This window comes from Homo sapiens, chromosome 4 (genome assembly GCF_000001405.40).
Source record: "Homo sapiens chromosome 4, GRCh38.p14 Primary Assembly".
Lineage (NCBI taxonomy): Eukaryota > Metazoa > Chordata > Mammalia > Primates > Hominidae > Homo > Homo sapiens.
In genome coordinates, this window is record NC_000004.12 from 128,188,532 (window position 1) to 128,213,343 (window position 24,812).

The 24,812-nt window shown below is 37.6% G+C and overlaps 1 protein-coding gene across 36 annotated transcripts in view; it reads left to right on the top strand.

Moving 5' to 3' along the window:
- The window catches only part of LARP1B (La ribonucleoprotein 1B), a 162,138-nt gene that overhangs the window by 127,743 nt on the left and 9,583 nt on the right, over positions 1-24,812 (top strand). For 31 of the 36 annotated variants that reach the window (XM_017008340.2, XM_047415872.1, NM_001410786.1 and 28 more), the window contains 5 exons: positions 10,908-11,068; positions 11,990-12,134; positions 17,897-18,006; positions 18,725-18,852; positions 21,325-23,457. In XM_017008340.2, coding sequence (XP_016863829.1) covers positions 10,908-11,068; positions 11,990-12,134; positions 17,897-18,006; positions 18,725-18,852; positions 21,325-21,522 — 742 coding nt within the window. In that variant the 3' untranslated portion in view covers positions 21,523-23,457. Of the gene's footprint in view, positions 1-10,907; positions 11,069-11,989; positions 12,135-17,896; positions 18,007-18,724; positions 18,853-21,324; positions 23,458-24,812 lie in introns of those variants that run through there. The other 5 variants (XR_938753.3, XM_011532057.3, XR_938754.3 and 2 more) reach the window with 4 other exon arrangements.

Sequence of the window (24,812 nt, forward strand, 5' to 3'; positions counted from 1 at the left end):
TTTCTTTCTACTAATTTTGGGTTTGATTTGTTCTTTTCTAGTTCTTTTAAGTACATCGTTAGGTTGCTTATTTGAAACCTACTTTTTTGATGTAGGCATTTATTGCTATAAAATTCTCTCTTAGTACTGCTATGCTGTATCTCATAGGTTTTGGAAAGTTACGTTTCCATTTGCATTTGTTTGAAGACATTTTGAAGTTTTCTTCTTAATTTCTTTATTAATCTGTTGATCATTCAGGAGCATGTTGTTTAATTTCCACGTTTGTGTAGATTCCAAAATTCTTCATGTTATTGATTTCTATTTTTATTCTGTTGTAGCCAGAAAAGATACTTGATATGATTTTGACTTTTTTAAATTTGTTGAGACATGTTTTGTAGCCTAACATATGTTTTATCCTGGAGAATGTTCCATGTGCTAATGAGAAGAATGTGTATTCTGCAGTAGTAGGTGAAATGTTCTATAAATGTCACTAGGTCCAGTTGGTCTAGGTGTAGTTTAACTTCATTGTATCTTTGTTGATTTTCTGTCTGGATGATCTGTCCATTATTGAGAGATGGGTGTTGAAGCCCCCTGCTATTATTTGTATTATAGTCTATCTCTCCTCTAGATTTATTAATGTTTACTTAATATATCTGGGTGCTCCAGAATTGGGTGCATATATTTTTAAATTGTTACAGCCTCTTGCTGAATTGATCCTTTCCTTTATCATCATACAGTGACCTTCCGTGTCCTTTTTTTTTTTTTTTTTACAGACTTTCACTTGTTCTATTTTGTTTGATACAAGTATGGCTACTTTTTTTTTTTTTTTTTTTTTTTTTTGCTTCCATTTGCGTGGAATGTCTTTTTCCATTCTTCACTTTCAGACTATGTGTGTCTTTATAGGTGATTTGAGTTTCTTGTAGGCAATATATAGTTGGATCTTGTTTCTAAAAGTTTTTCACTCAGCCATGCTTATATCTTTTGGTTGGAGAATTTAGTTCATTTACATTCAGTATTATTATTGATAGATAAGGACTTACTACGCAGTATGTCATTACTTGGTTTCTGGTTGTTTTGTAACTCCTCCCTTACTTCCTTCTTACTGCCTTTGTTTGTGATTAAGTGGTTTTTCTCTGGGAGTATGTTTTAATTCATTGCTTTTTATTTTTAGTGTATCTATCATAAGTCTTTGCTTTGTGGTTACCATGAGGCTTACCAAAGCCATAGCTGTAAGTTATTTTAAACATATGACAACTTAACTTTGATCACAAAGAAAAGGAAAGAATCAAGGGAAAAACTAAAAAACTCTACACTTCAACTCCATCCTCCCACATTTTGACATTTTGTTGTCTTAATTTACATCTATTTATCTTCCCTATCTCTTAACAGGTTGCTGTTAATATTTTCAGTAGATTTGTCTTTTAGTCTTCATATTAGAGATATGAATGGATTACATGTAACAATTACTGCATTAGAGCATTCTGAATTTGTCTACTTTTACCAGTGAGTTTTATACCTTCAAACATTTTTGGTTTTGCACATCAAAGTTTGTTTTCTTTCAAATTAAAGAACTCCCTTTAGCATTTCTGAAAAGATGGGTCTAGTAGTGATGAATTCCCTTAGCTTTTGTCTAGGAAAGACTTTATATCTCCTTCCTGTTTGAAGGAAAACTTTGCTGGGTACAGCATAGTTGGTTGGCAGGTTTTGTTTTTGTTTCCATTTATCCTGTAGCACTTTGAATGTGTCACTTAACTCCCTCATGGCCTGTTTGGTTTCTGTTGAAAAGTCTCTTGCCAAAAAAATCAGAGCTCTTTTATATGTTCTTTTATTTTTTTTCTCTTGCTGTTTTAAGGATCTTCTCTTTGTCCTTGACATTTTCAGGTTTGATTATTATTTGCCTTGGGATACTCTTATTTGGATTGAATATTGATATGGTTTGGCTTTGTGTTCCCACCCGTCTCATCTCGAATTGTAATTCCCATAATCCCCATGTGTCAAGGGAGGGACCTGGTAGGAGGTGATTGGATCATGGGGGCACTTATCCCATGCCGTTCTTGTGATAGTGAGTGAGTTCTCACAAGATCTGATGGTTTTATAAGTGTTTGACGGTTTCTCCTTCACACATACTCTCTCTCACCTGCTGCAGTGTAAGGGTGCCTGCTTCCCCTCCCACCACGATTGTAAGTTTCCTGAAGCCTCCCCAGCCATGTGGAACTGAGTCAATTAAACCACTTTCCCTCATAAATTACCCAGCCTCAGGTATTATTTATAGCAGAGTGAAAATGGACTAATAAAAATATATTTGGTAATTTCTGACCTTCTGTACCTAGATATTTATATCTTTCTTTAGATTTGGAATGTTTTCTGTTATTTCTTTGAATAAGCTTACTACTCCTTGCTCTTAACTCATCATTGAATGCCAGTGGCTCTTACATTTGTTCTTTTGAGATTATTCTTTATATCTTGCAGGTGTTCTTCATTCCTTTCTTTTTCTCCTCTGACTGTATTTTCCAATAGGCTGTATTTGAGCTCACTGATTGTTTCTTGCAATGTGAGAGCCTGTAATCCATTTTTCAGAAAACGTATTTCTGAGTTCCAGGATTTTTTTTTTTAATTTCAATCTCTTTGTGTTACATTTCTCTGATAAATTTAATTGCTTCTCTGTGTTATCTTGGATTTTGCTGAGTGTCTGTAGAACTGTTATTTTGTTCTTGATCTGAGACCTCACACATTGCTTTTCTTCTCCCTGACTCCTTGCTTTGTGCATTTGGGGATGTCATAGTTCCGTGTTTGCTGTTGTTTCTCGTGGATGTACATTTGTGGCTTTGCTTTAAAGGATTTATTATTTATCCCAGTCTTTGCTGTCTTGCTTGTTTTGTCTTTCTAAGGTATGTTTTCTTAGAGATTCTTTGCAGTAGCGTGTGAGTTCCCTTAATACTATTGTATATCAGTGCCTCCTTTTGGGCACTAGATGGCGCCTTAAGCCCAAGTTTGCCTTGGCTCTCACAAACATTGGAGCACTGCCTGTCAGATGGTGGGGGTGGCAAAGGGGATTACCCCAACTGTGTGGTAAGGCTGGCAAACGGTTTGTACCCAGAAAACTCATGGATCATACCTCCTACAGTGTGGTCCTGCTGAACAGCCACTCTGATATGGCATCTCTTTTGGCTGAAATAAAGAGGAGAATTTCAGGGCTAGGGTTTCTGTTCCTGCTTCCCCTCTTTTTCTGCCTTCATGATTTTTTTTTCTCCCTGCTAGCCCTCATGATATTATACTTCTTATGGGTTGAGGCAGGAACAGTTTTCCTGCAAGGGAACCCAAGATGGTGGGAAAGCTGGCTGTCCTCCTCCATCTAACTTTTTCCAATGAAGAAGCTGAGTCTGGGAGGAATTTTTCATGCACAGGGCCTGGCAGATTGCAGAAAAGGCATCATGCAAAGAGAAGGCTATTTCTCTTACTGTTTGCTTGGAGTTTTTCAGTTCTCTGTGGCTCACGGGTACTATCAGCCTCAGATTTGAGTTCTGGGATATTGCTGATGATAAGCTTTGTGCTAGATATTTGTTTTTGGCTTTCTGTGGGAGAGTGAAGCCAGATTGCTTCTACTCTGCCATTTTGGTGACATCATTGTCTCAATAAAGTATTTTTAAATTAAGGTATGTACTTTTTTTAAGTCATAATGCTATTGCACACTTGGTAGAGTACAGTATAATGTAAATATAACTTTTATATTTACTGGGAAGCCAAAATATTCATGTGACTTGCTTTTTTGCAATATGTGCTGTTTTGTGGTGGTCTAGAATTGAACCAGCAATATCTCTGAGATATGCCCATATAATTCAGCTGTTCCTTGAATTATGATGTGGTTACATCCTGATGAACCCTTTGTAGCTTGAAAATATCATAAGTTGAAAATGCATTTAATACACCTAACCTACTGAACATCATGGCTCAGCCTAGCTTACCTTAAATGTGCTCAGAACACTTATATTAACCTATAGTTGGGCAAAATCTAGCACAAAGCCTATTTTATAATAAAATGTTGAATATCTTATGTAATTTATTGAATGCTTTGCTGAAACTGAAGAACAGAATGGTTGTATGGTACTTGAGCTATGGTTTTTACTGAATGCATATTGCTTTTGTACCATCATAAACCTGAAAAACCGTAAGTGAAACCATCTTTTAAGTTGAGGACCAGCTTTATACATTTTAACGTACCACAGTCTACTTTCAAATAATCTTATCCCACTTCATGTGTAGTATAAGCACCTTACAACATTAAATTTTCATTATTTCTCCCCATTTCTCTGTTTGTTTCTTTGTTTTTTTTTTTTAAATTAGAGACAGAGTCTCGATCTTTCACCCAGGATAGAGTGCAGTGGCAAAATCTCAGGTTACTGCAGTCTCAAACTCCTGAACTTAAGCAGTCCTCCCACCTTAACCTCAAGTATCTGGGACTACAGGTGTGCACCACAATAGCTGGCTAATTTTTAAAAAAATTTTTGTTGCGACAAGATCTTGCTATGTAATTCAGGCTGGTCTTGAACTCCTGGGCTCAAGCAATTCTCCTGCCTTAGCCTCCCAAGGTGTTGGGATTACCGTTATGAGTCACCACACCCAGTCCCCCATTCTTTGTGCTATACTTTGTTATTATTTTTCTTTAGACAGTTATGTGTACATGTATATACACATACATATATGTGCACATGTGCATACACACATACACACATATAGTTTGAGTAGATAGTTTAGCACATTAAATCCTTCATATATATCTATTAAAAACTTTCTAAATGCCATTGAGAATCTGGGAGATTTCTTTAGTAGGTTCGTAATAGATATTTGCCTGTTATTAATACACCCACACACAAACACATACACACACCTATAAAGTATCCTGCTCTGGTTCTCTGATGGTTTCAGATTTATGGCTTTTTAAATTGTTAGAATAATTTTTGACTCATCATAAATTTTTTTGCCCTGTTTTCTTTTTTTCCTTCTTCTGGGTTTCAAATTACATATATGTTAGACCATTTGATAATACCCATAGCTGTTGGATGCTCTGATCTGCTTTTTCTCCTACTCCTTTTTTATTTTATTTTTTTATTTTTATTTTTATTTTTGAGACAGAGTTTCGCTCTCGTTGCCCAGGTTGGAGTGCAATGGAGTGATCTTGGCTCACTGCAACCCCTGCCTCCTGGGTTCAAACGATTCTCCTGCCTCAGCCTCCTGAGTAGCTGGAATTACAGGTGCAAGCCACCACGCCCAGCTAATTTTTTGTATTTTTGGTAGAGACAGGGTTTCACCATGTTGGTCAAGTTAGTCGTGAATTCCTGACCTCAGGAGATCCGCCTGCCTTGGCCTTCCAAAGTGCTGGGATTACAGGCGTGAGCCACTGCGCTTGGCCTCTTACTCCTTTTAAATTGTATTTCACTTTGTGTAATTTTGATTGATTTATATTCAGGTTTCCTGATTCTTTCCTTAGCTGTTCTAGTGTGCTAAGAAGTCCATCAAAGAAGTATTCATTTCTGATATTGTGTTGTGTATATTTTGCATTACTGTTTGACTATTTATTTATTGAGATGCAGTTTCACTCATGTCGCCCAGGCTGGAGTGCAATGGCACGATCTCAGCTCACTGCAACCTCCACCTCCTGGGTTCAAGCGATTCTTCTGCCTCAGCCTCCTAAGTAGCTGGGATTACAGGTGCCCGCTACCACACCCGGCTAATTTTTGTATTTTAATAGAGACAGGGTTTCACCGTGTTGGCCAGGCTAGCCTTGGACCCCTGATGTCAGGTGATCCGCCCACCTCGGCCTCCGAAAATGCTGGGATTACAAGTGTGAGTTACCGCGCCCGGCCCCATTTGACTTTTTAAAAATAGTTTTCTTGGCTGGTCGCAGTGGCTCACGCCTGTAATCCCAGCACTTTGGGAGGCCGAGGCGGGCGGATCACGAGGTCAGGAGATTGAGACCATCCTGGCTAACACGGTGAAACCCCGTCTCTGCTAAAAATACACAAAAATTAGCCGGGCATGGTGGCGGGCGCCTGTAGTCCCAGCTACTCGGGAGGCTGAGGCAGGAGAATGGCGTGAACCCGGGAGGCGGAGCTTGCAGTGAGCCAAGATCTCGCCACTGCACTCCAGCCTGGGCGACAGAGCAAGACTCTGTCTCAAAAAAAAAAAAAAAAAAAAAAAAAAAAAGTTTTCTTGGCTGGATGTGGTGGCGCTCACTGGTAATCCCAACTACTTAGGAGGCTGAGGCAGGAGAATCGCTTGAACCTAGGAGGTGGAAATTGCAGTGAGCTGGGATGGGGCCACTGCACTCCAACCTGGGCAACTGAGTGAGACTCCATCGCAAAAAAAAAAAAGTTTTCTTTTTTTCTGCTGAAATTCTCCATCTCTTCATGAATGTTCATCTTTTACATTAGAGTCTTCAACATATTAATCATGGTTATTTTAAAGTTCATTTGTGATTATGCTAGTACTGAGTTATCTGTAAGTCTGGTTCTATTCATTGTCTCCTGAATTTTATTTTTTCTTTTTGTGTGTCTTATACATTTTGATTGAATTCTAGATTATTACTTCTAGACTTTTTTTTGTTGTTGAAATCTTGCCAAATCCCAGTCTGAATAAATCCAGCTTTCTATTATATTTGCTCCTAGTCTACTGAATGTTGCTAAAGTAAGTCCTAGGCTTATTGATAGTAATATAGATTCATGTGCTGTAATTATAGTTAGAGCTTCGATGTTATCTGCATTTCTTTTACTAATCTAAGTATTCGATATTAATTTTATCTTCGTTCTTTCCTTTTGATTGAGGAATTCTTTATCTCTCATTGTTCCATCTTTTGAAAACTGTTTTCAAATTTCTATTTGTTAGTCTTCATTTTGATCTACCTCTTTGCTTCCTTCTGGCTCCCTGTGATAAGTATGCCAGTAAGGTATATTTATTCATTGTGGAGAATTTATTTAATGATAGCTACCACTTTTATATGCTTTCAATAAATGTTCCAGGCACTGTGCTCAACATTTTACATGCATTGTTTCTCTATGTCTTCTTTAGACAATAAGTTCTTTAATGTAAAGAACTTCTCAGTACCTGTCATACTTTGCAGTCAATAAATAACTACATGAATGAAACTACTGATTCCATATAGAGACAGGGAAGTTTATAGCTGTAAATGCCTACATTTAAAAAAGAAAAAAGATCTGAAATCGGCAACCTAGCTTTATACTTTAAGGAACTAGAAAAAGAAGAGCAAACTAAACCCAAAATAGTAGAGAAAATCAAGGAAACTAAAAGTTGATTCTTTGAAGAGATCAACAAAATTGACGAAACTTTAGCTAGACTGACAAAGAAAGAGAGAAGATGCAAATAACTAGAATCAGAAAAACAAACAAACAAATGGGATATTACTACTGGTTGACCTTACAGAGATAAAAAGGATATGAGAATACTGTGGGCTGGGCGTGGTGGCTCATGCCTGTAATCCCAGCACTTTGTGAGGCTGAGGCAGGTGGATCACAAGGTCAGGAGTTCGAGACCAGCTTGCCAATATGGTGAAACCCTGTCTCTACTAAAAATACAAAAATTAGCTGGGCATGGTGGTGGGCGCCTGTAGTCCCAGCTACTCAGGAGGCTGAGGCAGGAAAATCACTTGAGCCCGGGAAGCGGATGTCACAGTGAGCCGAGATCATGTCACTACACTTCAGCCTGGGCGACAGAGTGAGAGTCTGTCAAAAAAAAAAAAAAAAAAAGAAAGAAAGAAAGAAAAAGAAAAGGGAAAAAAAAAAACCCAAAAATTAACACCCAGCCTGCGCAACACGGTGAGACCACGTCTCTACTAAAAATCCAAAAAATTAGCCAGGCATAGTGGTACTTGCCTGTAGTCTTAGCTACTTGGGAGGCTGAGGTGGGAGGATTGCCTGAACCCAGGAGGTTGAAGCTGCAGTGAGCCATGACCATGCCACTGCACTCCAGTCTGGGCGACAGAGCAAGACCCTGTCTCAAAAAAATAAAAAGTAAAAAAGAATTAACACCAATCCTTCTCAAATTCTTTCAAAAAAATTGAAGGAATTTTTGTTTTCTGTTTTTTTTTTTCGGACACGGAGTCTCACTCTGTCGCCCAGGCTGGAGTGCAGTGGTGCAATCTCGGCTCACTGCAACCTCTACCAGCTATACCACTCTTAGTTATATATCAAAAGTATTGAAAACACATATTGTATGCCCATGTTTGTAGCAGCATTATTCATGATAGCCAAAAAGTGGGATTCTCAACAAAAGACTGGATAAGCAAGTATCCAACAACAAATGATTAGATAAACACATACAATGGAATATAAATATTCAACCACAAAAAGGAATGAAATTTTGATTTATGCTGCTACATGGATGAGCTTTGAAAACATTATGCTTAATGAAACAAGGTTGACACAGAAGGATAAATATTATACGATCCCACTTATATGGAGTACCTAGAATAGTCAAATTTATAGACAGAAAGTAGAATAGAGGTTACTAGGGCTGTAGGGAGGGGTAGAGGGGTAGTTTTTATTTAACAGGTACAGTTTTTGATGGAGATGATGAAAAAATTTTGAGTCTAGATAGTGGTGATGATTACAGAATATTGTGATTATATTTAATGCCTATTAATTATACACTTATGAATAGTGTTTAAAATGATATATATTATGTTAGGTATATTTTTACCACACATGTACACACAAAAACTCCTAAAATTCTTTTTTATTTCATTAGAAAAGTCTTTAAGTATTGGTTGTAACTGTCAGGCTCTTAGTGACAAATACAAGATTTCCAAAATTTTCATTTTTGCTTGAAAGCTCAAATTTTATCATTGGAAAAAACAGTTGTTTTCCTTGACATTAAAAACTCATTTTTTTATCAGCTGGGCGCAGTAGCTTACGCCTGTAATCCCAGCACTTTGGGAGGCCGAGGCGGGCAGATCACGAGGTCAAGAGATTGAGACCATCCTGGCCAACATGGTGAAACCCCATCTCTACTAAAAATACAAAAATTAGTTGGGTGTGGTGGCAGGTGCCTGTAGTCCCAGCTACTCAGGAGGCTGAGGCAGGAGAATCGCTTGAACCCAGGAGGTGGAGGTTGCAGTGAGCCGAGATGGCGCCACTGCACTCCAGCCTGGCAACAGAGCGACACTCTGTCTCAAAAAAAAGAAAAACAAAGAAAGAAAAAAAACCTATTTTTTTTCATTTTCAAGGAAATATCTGAGAAATAATAAAGTCTGAGTAACCATAGTTTGTGGGTTGTTCTTTTAGTTAAACATGAAAAAAGTTGCTAGTTTGCCTTATAACTTAATCACACAAGTGCTTTGCTTTAAGAAAACGATTGTAGCTTTTTTTTTTTTTTTTTTTTTTTGAGATGGAGTTTTGCTCATCACCTAGGCTGGAGTGCAATGGCATGATCTCTGCTCACTGCAACCTCCGCTGCCCGGGTTCAAGTGATTTTCCTGCCTCAGCCTCCCGAGTAGCTGGGATTACAGGTACATGCCACCACGTCCAGCTAATTTTTGTATTTTTTATAGAGACAGGGTTTCACCATGTTGGCCAGGCTGGTCTCGAACTCCTGACCTCAGGTGATCCGCCAACCTCGGCCTCCCAAAGTGCTGGGATTACAGGCGTGAACCCACCACACCCAGCCCCATTGTAGTTTAATATGCTGCAAAAATGCTTTGTGTTTTCTTCTCATTTTTAAAAAATTGTAAAAAAATGTATAACATGAAATTTACCATCTTAACAGTTCTTAAGTGTACAACTCAGTAGTGTTCAGTATATTCACATTGTTGTGAAACAGATCTCCAGAACATTTTCATCTTGCAAAACAAGCTTCCATTTCATGTTTGTCACACACAAAAAGATATGTACTCATGAGTGAGATTTTATAATTTTTTGGCTTTATCAAGGATATTTTTAAGTTGAAACTGGAATTGTTTTATTTTTTCTAATTGCAAGTGCATAACAATGAAGGATGCAGTCACAAGTAAGTAAAGTTTGGTGCCACTGCCTCAATTCACATCAGTTTTACACACCATTGCTTTTGTACCATCAGTAGAAAGGTCAACATAGAGGCAAGGGCCAACAATGTCTTCTTATTATGAAATCAGTTTTGACTTTGTAGACTTTCTAGAAGGTTCTTAGGAACCTTCCAACAGTCCACAGACCACTTTGAGAACCACTGATTTAGATAAATGTTTTAGGAAGATAACTTTGGTGGCAGGATAGAGAAGGGACACTTGGAAAAACAAAGAGACTGGTTAATTCAAGTGAAAGAAGAGAGACTGGTTAATTCAAGTGAAAGAAGAGGAAGGTCTAAATTTGAATTTAGGTCTATATTTGAATTTGAGTGCAGATGAGAAGGAAAAGACAGATTTAGGAGATAGATCAAAAGTGGAATTGATTTAGAGAATTGCAGGTTCTGTCTTACTTTTGATGCCTTTAGAAAAAAAGAAAATTGCAGGTATGTCTTTGAGATAATGAAATTATTGCCCATCTTTGTGCCAGATTTTATCCCTAATCTCCATGTATTCAATTTACATCACTAACCTAAATTATTCAAGATAAGTTGAAAGTTTCCACATAATAAAAAACTAATCTAAATGAAATTAATAATGATTTGGAGGAGGAATGAGCTATTCAGTTATCTGCTTCTGCTTAAACTGTGTTAGCTTGAGAGTTTATGACCATGCTTTTTATCAGCTTCTGAATTTACATATGTGTATTGAACATAAATAGCACTATATGCAGATCTGTATGTCATTAATTTAGGAGAGTTTTAGGGACTACTGTCTTTTCCACTGCTTAGACCCCCAATAATGAAAAAAATAGTACAAATTGGTTCATATACTTGGTTCTTGATTTTTCATTTTGAAGGCTTTTTTCCCCTTTCTCAAACAGCACTTCAAATGCTTCACCTTCAGAAGGCGCACCACTAGCAGGAAGTTATGGATGTACTCCTCATTCATTCCCAAAGTTCCAGCATCCTTCTCATGAACTTTTGAAGGAAAATGGCTTTACCCAACAAGTGTACCACAAGTATCGTCGAAGATGCCTAAGTGGTAAGATGCTTGTCCTTTATCTATCTAATATATTTAAAATTAAAATATAATTCTAAAAAATTTAAATGTTGTCATTTAATATCAGGTTAAGATATTCTTTTATTGTTAGACTATACATAGTTTTACTTTAAACATGTTTACATATATTCTTTATTCATGTACTTTATAACTTAGACACATTAGGAAATAAAAATTAATATACTCGGCTGAGCATGGTGGCTCATGCCAGTAATCTCAGCACTTTGGGAGGCCGAGGCATGCAGATCACTTGAGGTCAGGAGTATGAGACCAGCCTGGCCAACATAGTGAAACTCCATCTGTACTAAAAATACAAAAGTTAGCTGGGTGTGATGGCAGGCGCCTGTAATCCCAGCTACCCAGGAGATTGAGGCAGGAGAATTGCTGGGACCTGGGAGGCAGAGGTTGCAGTGAGCCAAAATCGTGCCATTGCACTCCAGCCTGGGCAACAGAGTGAGACTCTGTCTCAAAAAAAGAAAAAAAAATTTATTATACTCTTCTTGTTGCTATTGAGAGATATTTATAATTTAAGCAGTGAGTCAAAAAATGGGTTAGCATTTGTCAGCTGTTTCAGCAGTCCTCAATCTTTTTGGCACCAGGGACCTGTTTCATGGAAGACAATTTTTCCATGGGGGATGGTTTTGGATAAAACTGTTCCACCTCAGATCATCAGGCATTAGATTCTCTTAAGGAGTGTCCAGTCTAGATCCCTCACATGTGCAGTTCACAGTAGGGTACCAGTCTGTGGCCTGGAGGTTGGAGATCCCCACTCTATTTAGAAGAAACCTAAATACACTTTGAGGATTAATATGGTTGAGCTTTCTTCATTTTATATATAACATCTGCTGTCTTGTCTTTAAAAAGTATGTTTAATAAAATAATATTTTATTTAACTTTTTTCAGAGAGAAAACGCTTGGGAATTGGTCAGTCCCAAGAAATGAATACCCTCTTTCGTTTCTGGTCCTTTTTCCTCAGAGATCACTTCAATAAAAAAATGTATGAGGAATTTAGACAACTTGCTTGGGAAGATGCAAAAGAAAATTACAGGTCAGATATTTTCTTTTACACTTCAAGGGAGTTTTATTATTTTCTTCTTCTTTTTTTCTTTACCCAGGTAGATCCGATAGAGGGAGTTTTTAGAAAATAATTTTTAAAACTAGTACTGAAGTAGCCTGATTTTGAACCGTGAAAGTAGCACAATATAACTAGAGGGAGACCTGTATTAGTTTTCTATTTCTGCATTGCAAATTACCCCAAAACTCCATAGGTTAAAACAATAAACATTTGTTAGTTCACAGCTTCAAAGAGTTGAGACTCCAGAAACTGCTTAGCTGGGTGGTTCTGGCTTATGGTTTCTCATGAGCTTGCAGCCAAGATGTTGAAGTGGGCTGTGGTCTCTGAAGACTTGGCCTGGGCTGGAGGATCTTTTTCAAGCTCATTCACATGGCTCTTGGCAGGAGGCTTCAGTTCCTTGCCACACTGACCTTCCCTAGGGCATTTTACAATACGGTTTCACCCTGAATGAGTAGAGCTTCCAAAATGGAAGCCTCAGTATTTTATACAACCTGCACTTGGAAGTGGCATACCATTATTTCTGCCATATTGTATAGTCCATACAGACCAGTCCTGGTACAGTATAGGAGGGTACTACACAAGGTTGTTAATACCAAGAGATGGGATCATTAGGAACCATCTTAGAGGCTGGCAGAAGGGCTGAATGAAATTACAAAACTTTTCTCTCCCATGCTCCCACCATTACAGACTTCCCTTGCATGTACATATACATACCCCAATTGATATGTGCTTAGAGCCAACCCAGTTCTTAAGATTCTTTGAGAAAAGAAAAAGCAAGGCCTCTCACAATATGTCCTTTGACTCACCTTGTCTAATTTTTTCCCCGCTAGTCCTGTAGTACTCTGGGCAACAGTGATACTGAACTACATATTCTTCAAATGAACCAAGCTCTCTAGCCTCTGGACATCTGTGCATGTTCTTAACTTTGCTTCTACTTCTCTTCGTCCTCCCTGTGCTTTTCTAAATCCTATTCTTTTTGTCCCAGCTTAGACCTTGCTTCCTTCAGAAATGTTCATGGAAAGTCTTGAGAGTGCCTGTAGGGCTGAGTGAGGGCAGACAAAGAGGGTAAGAAGGAACATGGCGTGGACTCATGAAGGCTATTTATTCATGGGGAAAAGGAGAAAGGAACAAGAGATGGAGAGAAGGGAAAAAGATGATTTTTCATTCAATCATATTTACCTAAACTTACCCTTCTTTAAGTTCTGAAAATGGATTCCTCTTGTAAATATCAAATAAGAATATATTGTTTACCAGATATTGTGATCTTTGAGAAGAATACAAGGTGTGCTACAAATACATTTTTCTGATTAAAATCACAAAAATTTCTTTGTGTTGACTTATGTAAAAACAAAGCCCGTTTAATTTTTATCTGTTATCTATATCAGGAACAGCAGATCCATGGCAGGTGTACTTCTATTTCTTTTTCCTCTATTACTGATATCTCTAATCAATCCCAGTTATGTTTTATGTTCTTTCTTACCACACTTTTAAGATTTATACTCTTCCTTATGACTTTAATAGCTACTGCCAGTTTACCAGAGTTGGCATAAAAAGCAAAATTTGCCATTCCTAATCTCATTGTTCTTATTCAAACTGTGGTTTGCTACCTATTCGTCAATTGTAAAATCAATTGAGTGGTTCTAACATGCTTTAAAAAATACAGTAGAAAATACCAGACTGCACTGAGCATAGTAATTCATACATATGAATTTAATTCATACCCATATACATACAAATTTAAGAACTGTTTTGCAAAACATATATCTTTTTATGTACACACATATAGAGACATGCATATTGATTTAGTTATAAGGTAAAATATTTTTCATGGTATTGGACCTAGTCAGAAAAGTTTGAAAGCCATTGTTTTAATTGATCTCAGACTATTTTGCTATTTATGCAATTTCTGTTTGTTCCTTAAGACTTTCTGATAACTTCTCTGATTCCATTTCCACCCAAGTCTAGGTTGGGAGTTCCTCTTCTGTGTTCCTATACACATACCTCTGTGTATGTTTCTAATACCTTTGTAACACAGTTTCCTACCTTTGGTTCTGTTTCTGCAGTATTTACCACTAGACTGTATTAGCTACTTCTTAGGAAGTAGTGGTTAAGCACCTGAAGTCCTTGAAATCAGGACTATGTTTGAGTTGCAGCCATTAATTTACTGTGGCCTTGGCAGATTATAATCCCACCAGGCTTTAGGTTCTTTATAAAAAGTAGGTTAAGCCAGGCATGGTGGCTCACACCTGTAATCCCTGCACTTTGGGAGGCCGAGGCAGGCAGATCACTGAAGCCAGGAGTTCGAGACTAGCCTGGCCAACATGGCAAAACCCCGTCTCTTCTAAAAATACAAAAATTAGCTTGGCGTGGTGGCCTGCGCTTATAGCTGCTTGGGAGGCTGAAACATGAGAACTGCTTGAGCCTGGGAGGAGGAGGTTGCAGTGAGCCAAGGTTGTGCTACTGCACTTCAGTCTGGGTGACTGAACAAGACTCTGTCTCAACAAAAAAAAAGGTTAAATTGTGATAGATACTCTCTCATGGGGTTATTGTGAAGATTACACAAAGCATTTAAAGGGCTTAACACATTAACTTATGTATAGTAAGTGCTTGACAAATGATTCCCTCTCTCCCTCCCTCCCTCCCTCCCTCCCTCTTTTCTTTTCTTTTTCCTCCCTCCCTCCCTTCCTTTCTTTTTTTCTTTGAGACAAAGTCACACTGTTGCCTAGGCTGGAGTGCAGTGTCGCGATCTCGGCTCACTGCAACCTCTGCCTCCTGGGTTCAAGCAATTCTTCTGCCTCAGCCTCGTAAGTAGCTGGCATCACAGGTGCCCACCACCACACCCGGCTAATTTTTGTATTTTTAGTAGAAATGGGGTTTTACCATATTGGCCAGGCTGGTCTTGAACACCTGACCTCAAGTGATCCACCCACCTCGGCCTCCCAAAGTGCTAGGATTACAGGTGTGAGCCACTGTGGCCGGCCAGATGATTATTGTCATTAGGGAATTGTTACTAATTCTGTCCATTGGTTGAAAGTAGTAATAATGTGATTACAGGAAGGAGGGAGAGAGCTAACATCGCTTACATCTCTTCAATGTGCTAGCTCTGGTCTAGAGGGTTTACAAATATCTATTTTCGAAAAATAGGATCTAATTGACTCAATTTTCAGTGATATAATGACAAGCCCATGATTCAAATATAGTTCTTTCTGGTTCTAAGCCTCTAGGTTTTCTACTCCTCTGAGCTGTCTTGCAGTTAGTGGTAAATGAGTAAATGACAACTGAGAAGGCTGATCATTTGCCTTTGTCCTTCACTCCAGCAGTTATGCTGTGTATTTGGGTTGTGTTATTAATGTCATACTTTTGGTCTTTGGAATAGTTTGCTAAGAAATAAGAGTAAAAATCCAAATATTGCCTATTCAATATAAATGTTGTATTGTCATCCTTTATCAATAATCTAAGAATTTCTATATTCCTCTAAAATATGATTTACTTGATAAAAACCAAAAACTTACTTCTCCAGAAATAAAGAGAGATACTGAGGCTTCACCTCAAAGATTCTGGTTTTGGGTACAAAAAAAAAAAATGGTTGGAAAGAATGAGTAAGACCTACTATTTGATAGCATAATAGGGTGACTATAGTCAATGGTAGCTTAATTGTACATTTTAAAATGGCTTAAAGAGGCCAGGCGTGGTGGCTCATGCCTGTAATCCCAGCACTTTGGGAGACCGAGGTAGGTGGATCACATGACATTAGGAGTTCAAGACCAGCCTGGCCAACATGGTGAAACCCCATCTCTACTAAAAATACAAAAATTAGCCAGACGTGGTGGCAGGCGCCTGTAATCCCAGCTACTTGGGAGGCTGAGGCAGGAGAATCACTTGAACCCAGGAGGTGGAGGTTGCAGTGAGCCGAGATCGCACCACTACACTCCATCCTGGGCAACAAGAGTAAAACTCTGTCTCAAAAAAAAAAAAATTAAAATTAAAAAATAAATAAATAAAATGGCTTAAAGAGTATAATTGAATTGTTTGTAACTCAAAGGATAAATGCTTGAGGGGATGGATACTCCATTCCCAATGATATGCTTATCTCACATTGCATGCCTGTATCAAAACATGTCATGTGCCCCATAAATATATGCACCCACTGTGTACCCACAAAAATTTTAAAAATTAAAAAAAAAGATCCTGATTCCATTGGTTTGGAGCAGAGCCTGGGCATCAGTATTTTTAAAAGCTCCCCAGATGATTATAATGTGTAGCTAAGATTGAGAACAACTGATGTCGGTATATGATCCCATAAGAGGAACATCAAAGCAAGTTTGTCATTCTGAACTGTGGTTCCTTTAGTCTTTGATCTCCTTAGACTTCAGTCATGCAAGCTCAACCAGTAGCATCACTTAAGGCTATGGGAGCCAAGGGCTCAGGTTGCTGTATAAGTGTGTAGTTGGCAGTCCTGCATTTCTCTTGTTGGCTTGCCAGACCATCACTCTTCGTCTTGTAAATAAGCTGGTTGCAAAAGAGACACACAATCACATACCCTGCTTCCTGTGACTGACAGCCAGTTAATATTATGTTAGCAGAATGAAGAGGTTGTAACCTTTCTGCTGAGGTACCCAGAATGACTTAGGATTCTAACTTAGGAGTGTTTTAATTGTGGTATCTTTTAGTTGAGTCAGCTAGACAAGGTCTTTTTGCTGCCATCTTACAGCCTTGTTTCACTCTCATGGGTTCTGCTCATCACCTGTGGTTGAAGGTTGAGCCTATATAGTTTGCTGATCTACTGAGCAGAACTCCTAGATTCTCAAGATAGTTATAGACAGAAACAAGGAAATTTGTTTTCTCATTTACGTAGTGATTATAGCTCTATTAGCAATATATCTACTATTAATTGTACTTTATAATGAAAGCAGGGAGGCTCTCTTAACCATTTAATTATGTTTGTACCATTATAGTTGAATGGGACAGCCACACCTGGGATCTAGGGCACAGCCGTACAGTCTTTATCTTCCTAGAGTAAAGCTTACATTCAAGAGTATTTATTTAATGCTGTGTACAAAGATACCATTATAAATTTTGGTTTGGGGAAAATCTAACACATCCCCAATTTATCACTAAATCTTTTGGCCAGTTCTTCAGAAATACCAGGGAGAGATAATGTGTGCATCTAAAGAGGTCATACTGAACTGTCCAAGGGCTGCCTTTCATGCAGCAGGTTCTCAGTATACCTTCATGATGTGCTACGGCTGAGTCAACAAAAATAGCAAAGCCAGCTGTAGATTACTAATTACCAGTTCAGTTAAAAATCTGCATACCGGCCGGGCGCAGTGACTCACACCTGTAATCCCAGCACTTTGGGAGGCCGAGGCAGATGGATCCCCTGAGGCCAGGAGTTTGAGACCAGCCTGGCCAACATGGTGAAACCCCGTCTCTACTAAAAATACAAAAAATTAGCTGGATGTGGTGGTGGGCACCTGTAATCCCAGCTACTCGGGAGGCTGAGGCAGGAGAATAGCTTGAACCAGGGAGGCGGAGGTTGCAGTGAGCCGAGGTCGCACCATTGCACTCCAGCCTGAGCAACAAGAGTGAGACTCTGTCTCAAAAATAATTAAAAAATCTGAATGCTAAAATTTTATTTTTTGTTTAGGATTAGTTGTGCCATGTTTGCTTATATTGATGTTACTAACTATAGAGATATTGTATTTTATTATAAACCTTTTATTTTCTCTTTATAGGTATGGGTTAGAATGTCTGTTCAGGTTTTATAGTTATGGACTGGAAAAAAAATTCAGGCGAGAAATTTTTCAGGATTTCCAAGAAGAAACCAAAAAAGACTACGAATCTGGTAACAATAACATCAGAAAACTTGTACTCTAATTGGAAATTGTAAACCTGAGTCTGTCAGTAAATAGGGAAGGAGTTCATAGTTTTTTTCTTCAGGGCAAACCATTTAAGATCTTCATGCTATTGTTGTGTTTCTTGATGAAGGATGGGGCACCAGGTAGTAAGAAGGCCTTTCCTGGGAGGTGTTGGAAAGTAACTACTCTCAAGTCTTTCTTTTATGGAGGTATATTTTGTCATTATCCCTTTGACAAACGTGGCTACTCACTGATGTTCCGTTACATGAAAATTCTATGCAACATCAGCAGGTAAGCTTGGAAAGGCAGAAATAGCACAGTGGTTAAGAGTGCAGGCTCTGGGACAGACTGCTAGGTGCAAATTCCCTTTCCACTATTTAGAAGCTATGTGATTGTGGGTAAATTGCCTACCCTTGCTAGCCTCAGTTTTCTCATCTGTAACATATATGAGAACACCCATCTTTTGGGTTGTATATGGTTCAAATTAGTTTGATGCATAATAAAGCACTTAATGCTTGTTACATAACAAATGCTCAATAAATATTAGCTGCCATTATTGGTTAATTCATTACATGTCTTATTCTCAAGATCTAGAGTAAGCATATATTGGAAGATAAATTGTTTATTGCTGATAGGATTATATTTAATGTGAATAATTTTTAAAATTTCATATAATTCATAATGTATATTATTCTTTGTTATTAGGTCAGCTGTATGGACTAGAAAAGTTTTGGGCTTATTTGAAATATTCTCAATCTAAGACACAGTCTATTGACCCAAAACTTCAGGAATACCTCTGTAGTTTTAAGAGGTTAGAAGACTTCCGTGTTGATGTAAGTTTTAAGTCATTTCCTCTATTCTTTTTATTATCCATATATTTCAGTCTCTTATCAGTGACTTTTTAAGCTTTAATTTTGTAATTTTTATTTTTTAACTTTTTAGTTTTAAAATTAAACTTTGAAATAGATATAAAAATAGTTCAGAGAATTCCCATATACTCTGTTCACTCAGATTTCGCAAATGTTAACATCTTGTATAACCACAGTGCAATTGTTAATTCAATTTAATTTTCATATGCTGCTATAATTAAACATTTTCTAGATTTATTAATTTTTACCTGATATGCTAATTTGTCACTAGCAATGTGAAAACTTTTCACTTTTTAATGATCTTTTATCCATATAATTCCTGTAACATGTGCTGATATGGATTTAGGGTACCTGCATAATAAAATTAAGGAGAGAATGTTGTGTGCATGTGTGCAAGCACAAGAGTGGTGTCTTTTAGTTGAGTCAGCCAGACAAGGTCCTTTTGCTGCCATCTTACAACGATGTCCACTCTCATGCGTTCTTCTCATCACCTTTGGTGGAAGGTTGAACTTATATAGGCTTTATCCATTTGATTTCAAGAGGAAAAGAAAAGCATTAAAAAATGTCACGAATGTAAGAAGATAGAGGAAAAGGAGGAAGAAGATAAATAAAAAATAAAGGAAAAAGCCTGGGTGTGGTGGCTCACACCTGTAATTCCAGCACTTTGGGAGGCCGAGGCGGGTGGATCACCTGATGCCAGGAGTTCAAGACCAGCCTGGTCAACATGGCAAAACTCTGTCTCTACTAAAAATACAAAAATTAGCTGGGTGTGATGGTGCACGTGTGTAATCCCTGCTACTCAGGAGGCTGAGGCACAAGAATTGCTTGAACCTGGGAGGTGGAGGTTGCAGTGGGCAGAGATTGTGCCACTGCACTCCAGCCTAGGCAACAGAATGAGACTCTGTCTCAAAAAAAAAAAAAAAAGGGAAGAAGAAAAATTTTAAATTTAAAAATAGGAAAGAAGTAAAAGGAAGGCTAGGTTCATCATCTCTGCTTTGTGTTGTAATTTGTCTTGCAGTTTTGTGTAAATGGACTTGATGACCCAGGGATAGGGTTAATAAAAGTGCCTGTCTCTGGAATTAAGAGCTATTTTTCTAGAGTGGCCTAGCCAGTTCTGTCACAAAGACATCCTTGCTCTATATTTGAGACTCTTGCCCCATCTGAACATAAGCTAAGAATTCAGGCCTCCTTCTTTAAGTACAACGGAAGATTGGATGAGGAGGTTACTATCTTAGTTTAGCTCCACATAAAAATACTAGTTCATTGGTGTCCAGTTCTGGGCTCCCAAATCTTGGTAACTGGAAAGGCATAAAAAGCTGACTTTTTTTGAATGCAGGATACCTTTTCACTGGGTACTTAAACGTTTGAAGATGTTTAAATTTGGTGCCATCAATAATATTCTCCAGTCTCATCATAGGAATTCTAGATAAACCTTCAAACTTGCTAACGATAATTTAACTTGGCATCTCTTTTATTCCCCTACTGCTTTCATTTATCTGTTATTTAAACATTTTCACTTAAGCAAGCCTGGAATAGGAGTTTAGGATTGAGAAAGAGACTGGAAATACAAATCCTTTACAGTTGATGAAATTAATAAAGAAGGCAAATAGCCTCGCTGAAACATTTTCTTGGAGCCAAGGAACCCAGCCTTATAGTTATGCCCCATCAGATAGCTCAGGCCCTAAAAAATGAGAGAAGCTTAGTAAACATGTGTTGAGGCCAGGCATGGTGGCTCATGCCTGTAATCTCAGCACTTTGGGAGGCCGAGGCGGGTGGATCGCCTGAGCTTAGGAGTTTGAGACCACCCAGGGCAACATGGTGAAACCCCGTCTCTACTAAAAATACGAAAAAATTAACTGGGTGTGGTGGCTTGCGCCTCTACTCCCAGCTACTTGGGAGGCTGAGGCAGGAGAATCGCTTGAACCCCAAAGGCAAAGATTCCAGTGAGCCGATGTGGCACCACTGCACATCAGCTTGGGCTACAGAGTGAGACTCTGTCTCAAAACAAAAACAAAAAACAAGCAAACAAAAAAAACACTCGGGCTACAGAGTGAGACTCCGTCTCAAAAACAAAAAACAAAAACCACAAACATATGTTGAGTAAAAGAATGAGCAAATACTAGTAGGCTGATTTAGTTAGGAAGGAAATTTAAGTTTAGTACCTTAAGTTGCTGTTAAGTTTTTGTTATACTAATACAATCTGTGAGGCGGAAGAATGGCGTGAACCCGGGAGGCGGAGCTTGCAGTGACCCGAGATCGCGCCACTGCACTCCAGCCTGGGTGACAGAATGAGACTCCATCAAAAAAAAAAAAAAAAAAAAAAATTATACTGAAGTGTCCATTTAACTTACTTTTTTGGGGAAAAGTCTAGCCTTAGATTCTGAAGGGAGGAAAAACAGTAAAATTGTCAACGGTGTTGCCTTTCATCATTTGCAGCCCCCTATTAGTGATGAATTTGGAAGAAAAAGACATTCCTCTACTTCTGGTGAGGAGAGTAATCGTCATAGACTTCCACCTAATTCCTCTACAAAGCCACCAAATGCTGCTAAACCTACATCTACCAGTGAGCTTCAGGTACCAATAAACTCTCCCAGAAGGAATATTTCACCGGAGTCCAGTGACAATTCACATTAAACAGTGCTGCCTGTGTCCTGTGGTCTCAAGAAATGGTGAAATGCCTGAGAAATAGACTCTTATGAAAGTTCTTTGTCCTTGAAGTCAACATTTACATCAGTATTTATTTGGGGAAAATCTTCTGGTGTTTAATTGTGATAATAAGAAAGAAGAAAAAGAAAGAAAAGTGGTAGCATTTTTTCTAACAAGATAAATTCTAAAAATGTTTTCCCTGATTTCACAAACAAGGATAGTCTTGGTGACCTTTTATAGAGATCTTCTAGTAATGTATTTTGATCTCAGATTTCTTTTTCAAAGCCATGGTTTTACAAAAACAGCATTCCTTAAATATATTTAAAAAACAATACAAGGAATGCCTAACATTTCAGCTCATACTTCTTAAAGAAGATATAGTATGTTGTATTCTCTTCTTAGAGCTTTCTTAAAGAATCCACAATCCAATTACCCCACTGTCAATTCATATTTGAACTTACCAAAACAAAGGAGGATTACGTATATGTTTTTTAAATTCAAAAAAGAATATGAAATTATACCTTTAGTATCCCTTTGAGACATATAGTTTAAAGAAAACTTTTTTTAAAACAAAAGTAGGAATATATAGTAAGATTGTAGTTACAATGAGTATATGCACTTTTGATGCTAGGTTTTGCTTTTCTCCCCCCAGTCATATCTCATGATTTCCACAGTTGTTGTATTGGTGTGGAGTTTTCTGAATTGGCTATAAGCTGATTACATATTAGAGGTTTATTTTTATGATTCTATATAAACGTGCACGAGTAATTTAAAACCTGCATTGGGATTGATTGGAATATTGTCCTAAATTAATTAAATCTTGCACTGTTTTGAATGCATCTGCTATTTATACATCTGCAAGTGGGTATGTCATAAGGAGTCAGATTATCTTTAATTTAAAATGAATACTTAGTTTTACCTTTTTGTTTATTTTTTGTTTAATTTTGTTTTTATAAATGTTTTCAAGAGTTATAGCAAATTGATTTCTAATTTTTATTGCTATTACAACTGATGTAAATGGTAGTTTCAGTTTTTGTGAGATTTAAAAAAATAAAGCACTTATTCTGAATTTTTTGAATTGATTTTTAATTATTTTTATTTAGAATATAGTTGAAAAGCTGTAATATTCAGTTTTGCTAGTAAAAGACCATTTTTTTGTGTGAATGAAGTTTCAATTATAAACTTACATTCACTTTATTGAGCACTACATAATTTACAGATATTTTGTTGTATTGGCAAAAGCAAGTGGTTTCCATATGCTAAATTAATTGTATTTTCTTTTTGAGCAGATTGGATATCTTGTTCTTATAAATTATAATATTGAAATACATATAATCTTTGGATGGATGGGCTGTTAATTTGTAAATAGGTTTTCATTAAGTTATTTCTCATGATAAGTAATAATCAGCAGTTTTATAATATTTACTATTTGGAGGGTCATTTTGATGCTTTAAATTGCAGAAATAGTCAAATTTGAATATTCAGAAAATAAATTTATTTAGATATATTGTAAAGAGGGTGCAAAACAAGCAATGGGTTAGAATAATAGATCTTCAAGTCTTTTCTTAAATGGGGTATGTAGTTCCAGCTTTTCAGTGAGAAATTTCCAAACCGTGCTTATTAGCTTTAAATGGTCTCTTGAAATGATCATAAATTTTTCTCAGTGTCCTTTTTGTGTTGAACACATATATCTGAAACCTGTATTTAACCAGATATTTCTACTCAACTGAATATACAAGTGTAAATTTGATTGGAAAATTGTATATTATAAATGAAAATACAATAATCAGGAGTTTTGTGGTTTGTATTAATTAGTAGTTTTATCATATTTTTATTATAAAAGTAATACATGTACATTGGGAAATTTAGAAAAGCACAAAGAAGAAAATAAAGTACTTGTTATAAAAAGAAGAAAAACCAAAATTGGTGTCAGGCTATATATAGTGTTATAACCTGCATTTGTCACTTAATGGAGTTGAACATTTTCTGATGTCATTAATATTTCTCATTACTTTTTTTTTTTAAATTGTAGAGATGGGGTTTCACCATGTTGACCAGGCTGATCTTGAACTCCTGGTCTCAAGTGATCCACCTTCCTCGGCCTCCTAAAGTGCTTGAATTACAGGCATGATGAGCCACCGTGCCTGGCCAGTGATGTCATTAATATTTCTATTTCATGGCTTTTACTAGTTACATAGTATTCCAGTGTGTGAATATGCCGAGTTTACGTAGCTAACTGCTGACTGTTGAACTTTGGCTGTGGCTAGGTTTTAGCTGTTACAAACAACAATTAATAGGCTGGGCATGGTGGCTCATGCCTGTAATCCCAGCACTTTGGGAGGCTGAGGCGGGTGGATCACTTGAGATCAGAAATGCGAGACCAGCCTGGCCAACATGATGTGAAACCCCATCTCTACTAAAAATACAAAAAACTAGCTGGGCGTGGTGGTGCATGTCTGTAATCTCAGCTACTGGGGAGGCTGAGACAGGAGAATCGCTTGAACCCAAGAGGCAGAGAGGTTGCAATGAGCCGAGTCCGCACCACTGCACTCCAGCCTGGGCGACAGAGTGAGACTCTGTCTCAAAAAAACAAAAACAAAAACAAAAAACAAACAAACAACAATGAATAGTATCCTTACAGATAAATCTTTGTGTATAAAAGAGTTACTGTCAAGAACTCCTAGAAGTTGGAACTCTAAGTAAAAACGTGTCTCCATTTAAGACCTCTAGGAAGGTTGCACAGTTTACACTTTTATCAACATCTGCTTCCCTACATCCTTATCAACACCAATTATGATAAATCTTTCTCTTTAGACTGATAAGCAAAAAATCATTTAAATCTCTCTCTTTTTTTTTTTTTTTTTTTTTTTGAGATGGAGCTTTGCTCTTGTTGCCCGGGCTGGAGTGCAATGACGCGATCTCGTCTCACTGCAACTTCCACCTTCCAGATCCAAGCAATTCTCCCGCCTCAGCCTTCCGAGTAGCTGGGACTATAGGCATGCACCACTATGCCCGGCTAATTTTGTATTTTTAGTTGAGATGGGGTTTCACCATGTTGGCTAGGCTGGTCTCGAACTACTGACCTCAGGTGATCCACCTTGGCCTCCCAAAGTGCTGGGATTACAGGTGTGAGCCACTGCGCCTGGCCACTAAATCTCATTATTAATGTCACCATTTTAATCATTTTAAATGATTTAATCATTTTAATCATTTTAAATAGTGACCATTTTAATCAGGTCACTAATGAGCAATAATTTTTATTGCTTATTAACCATATT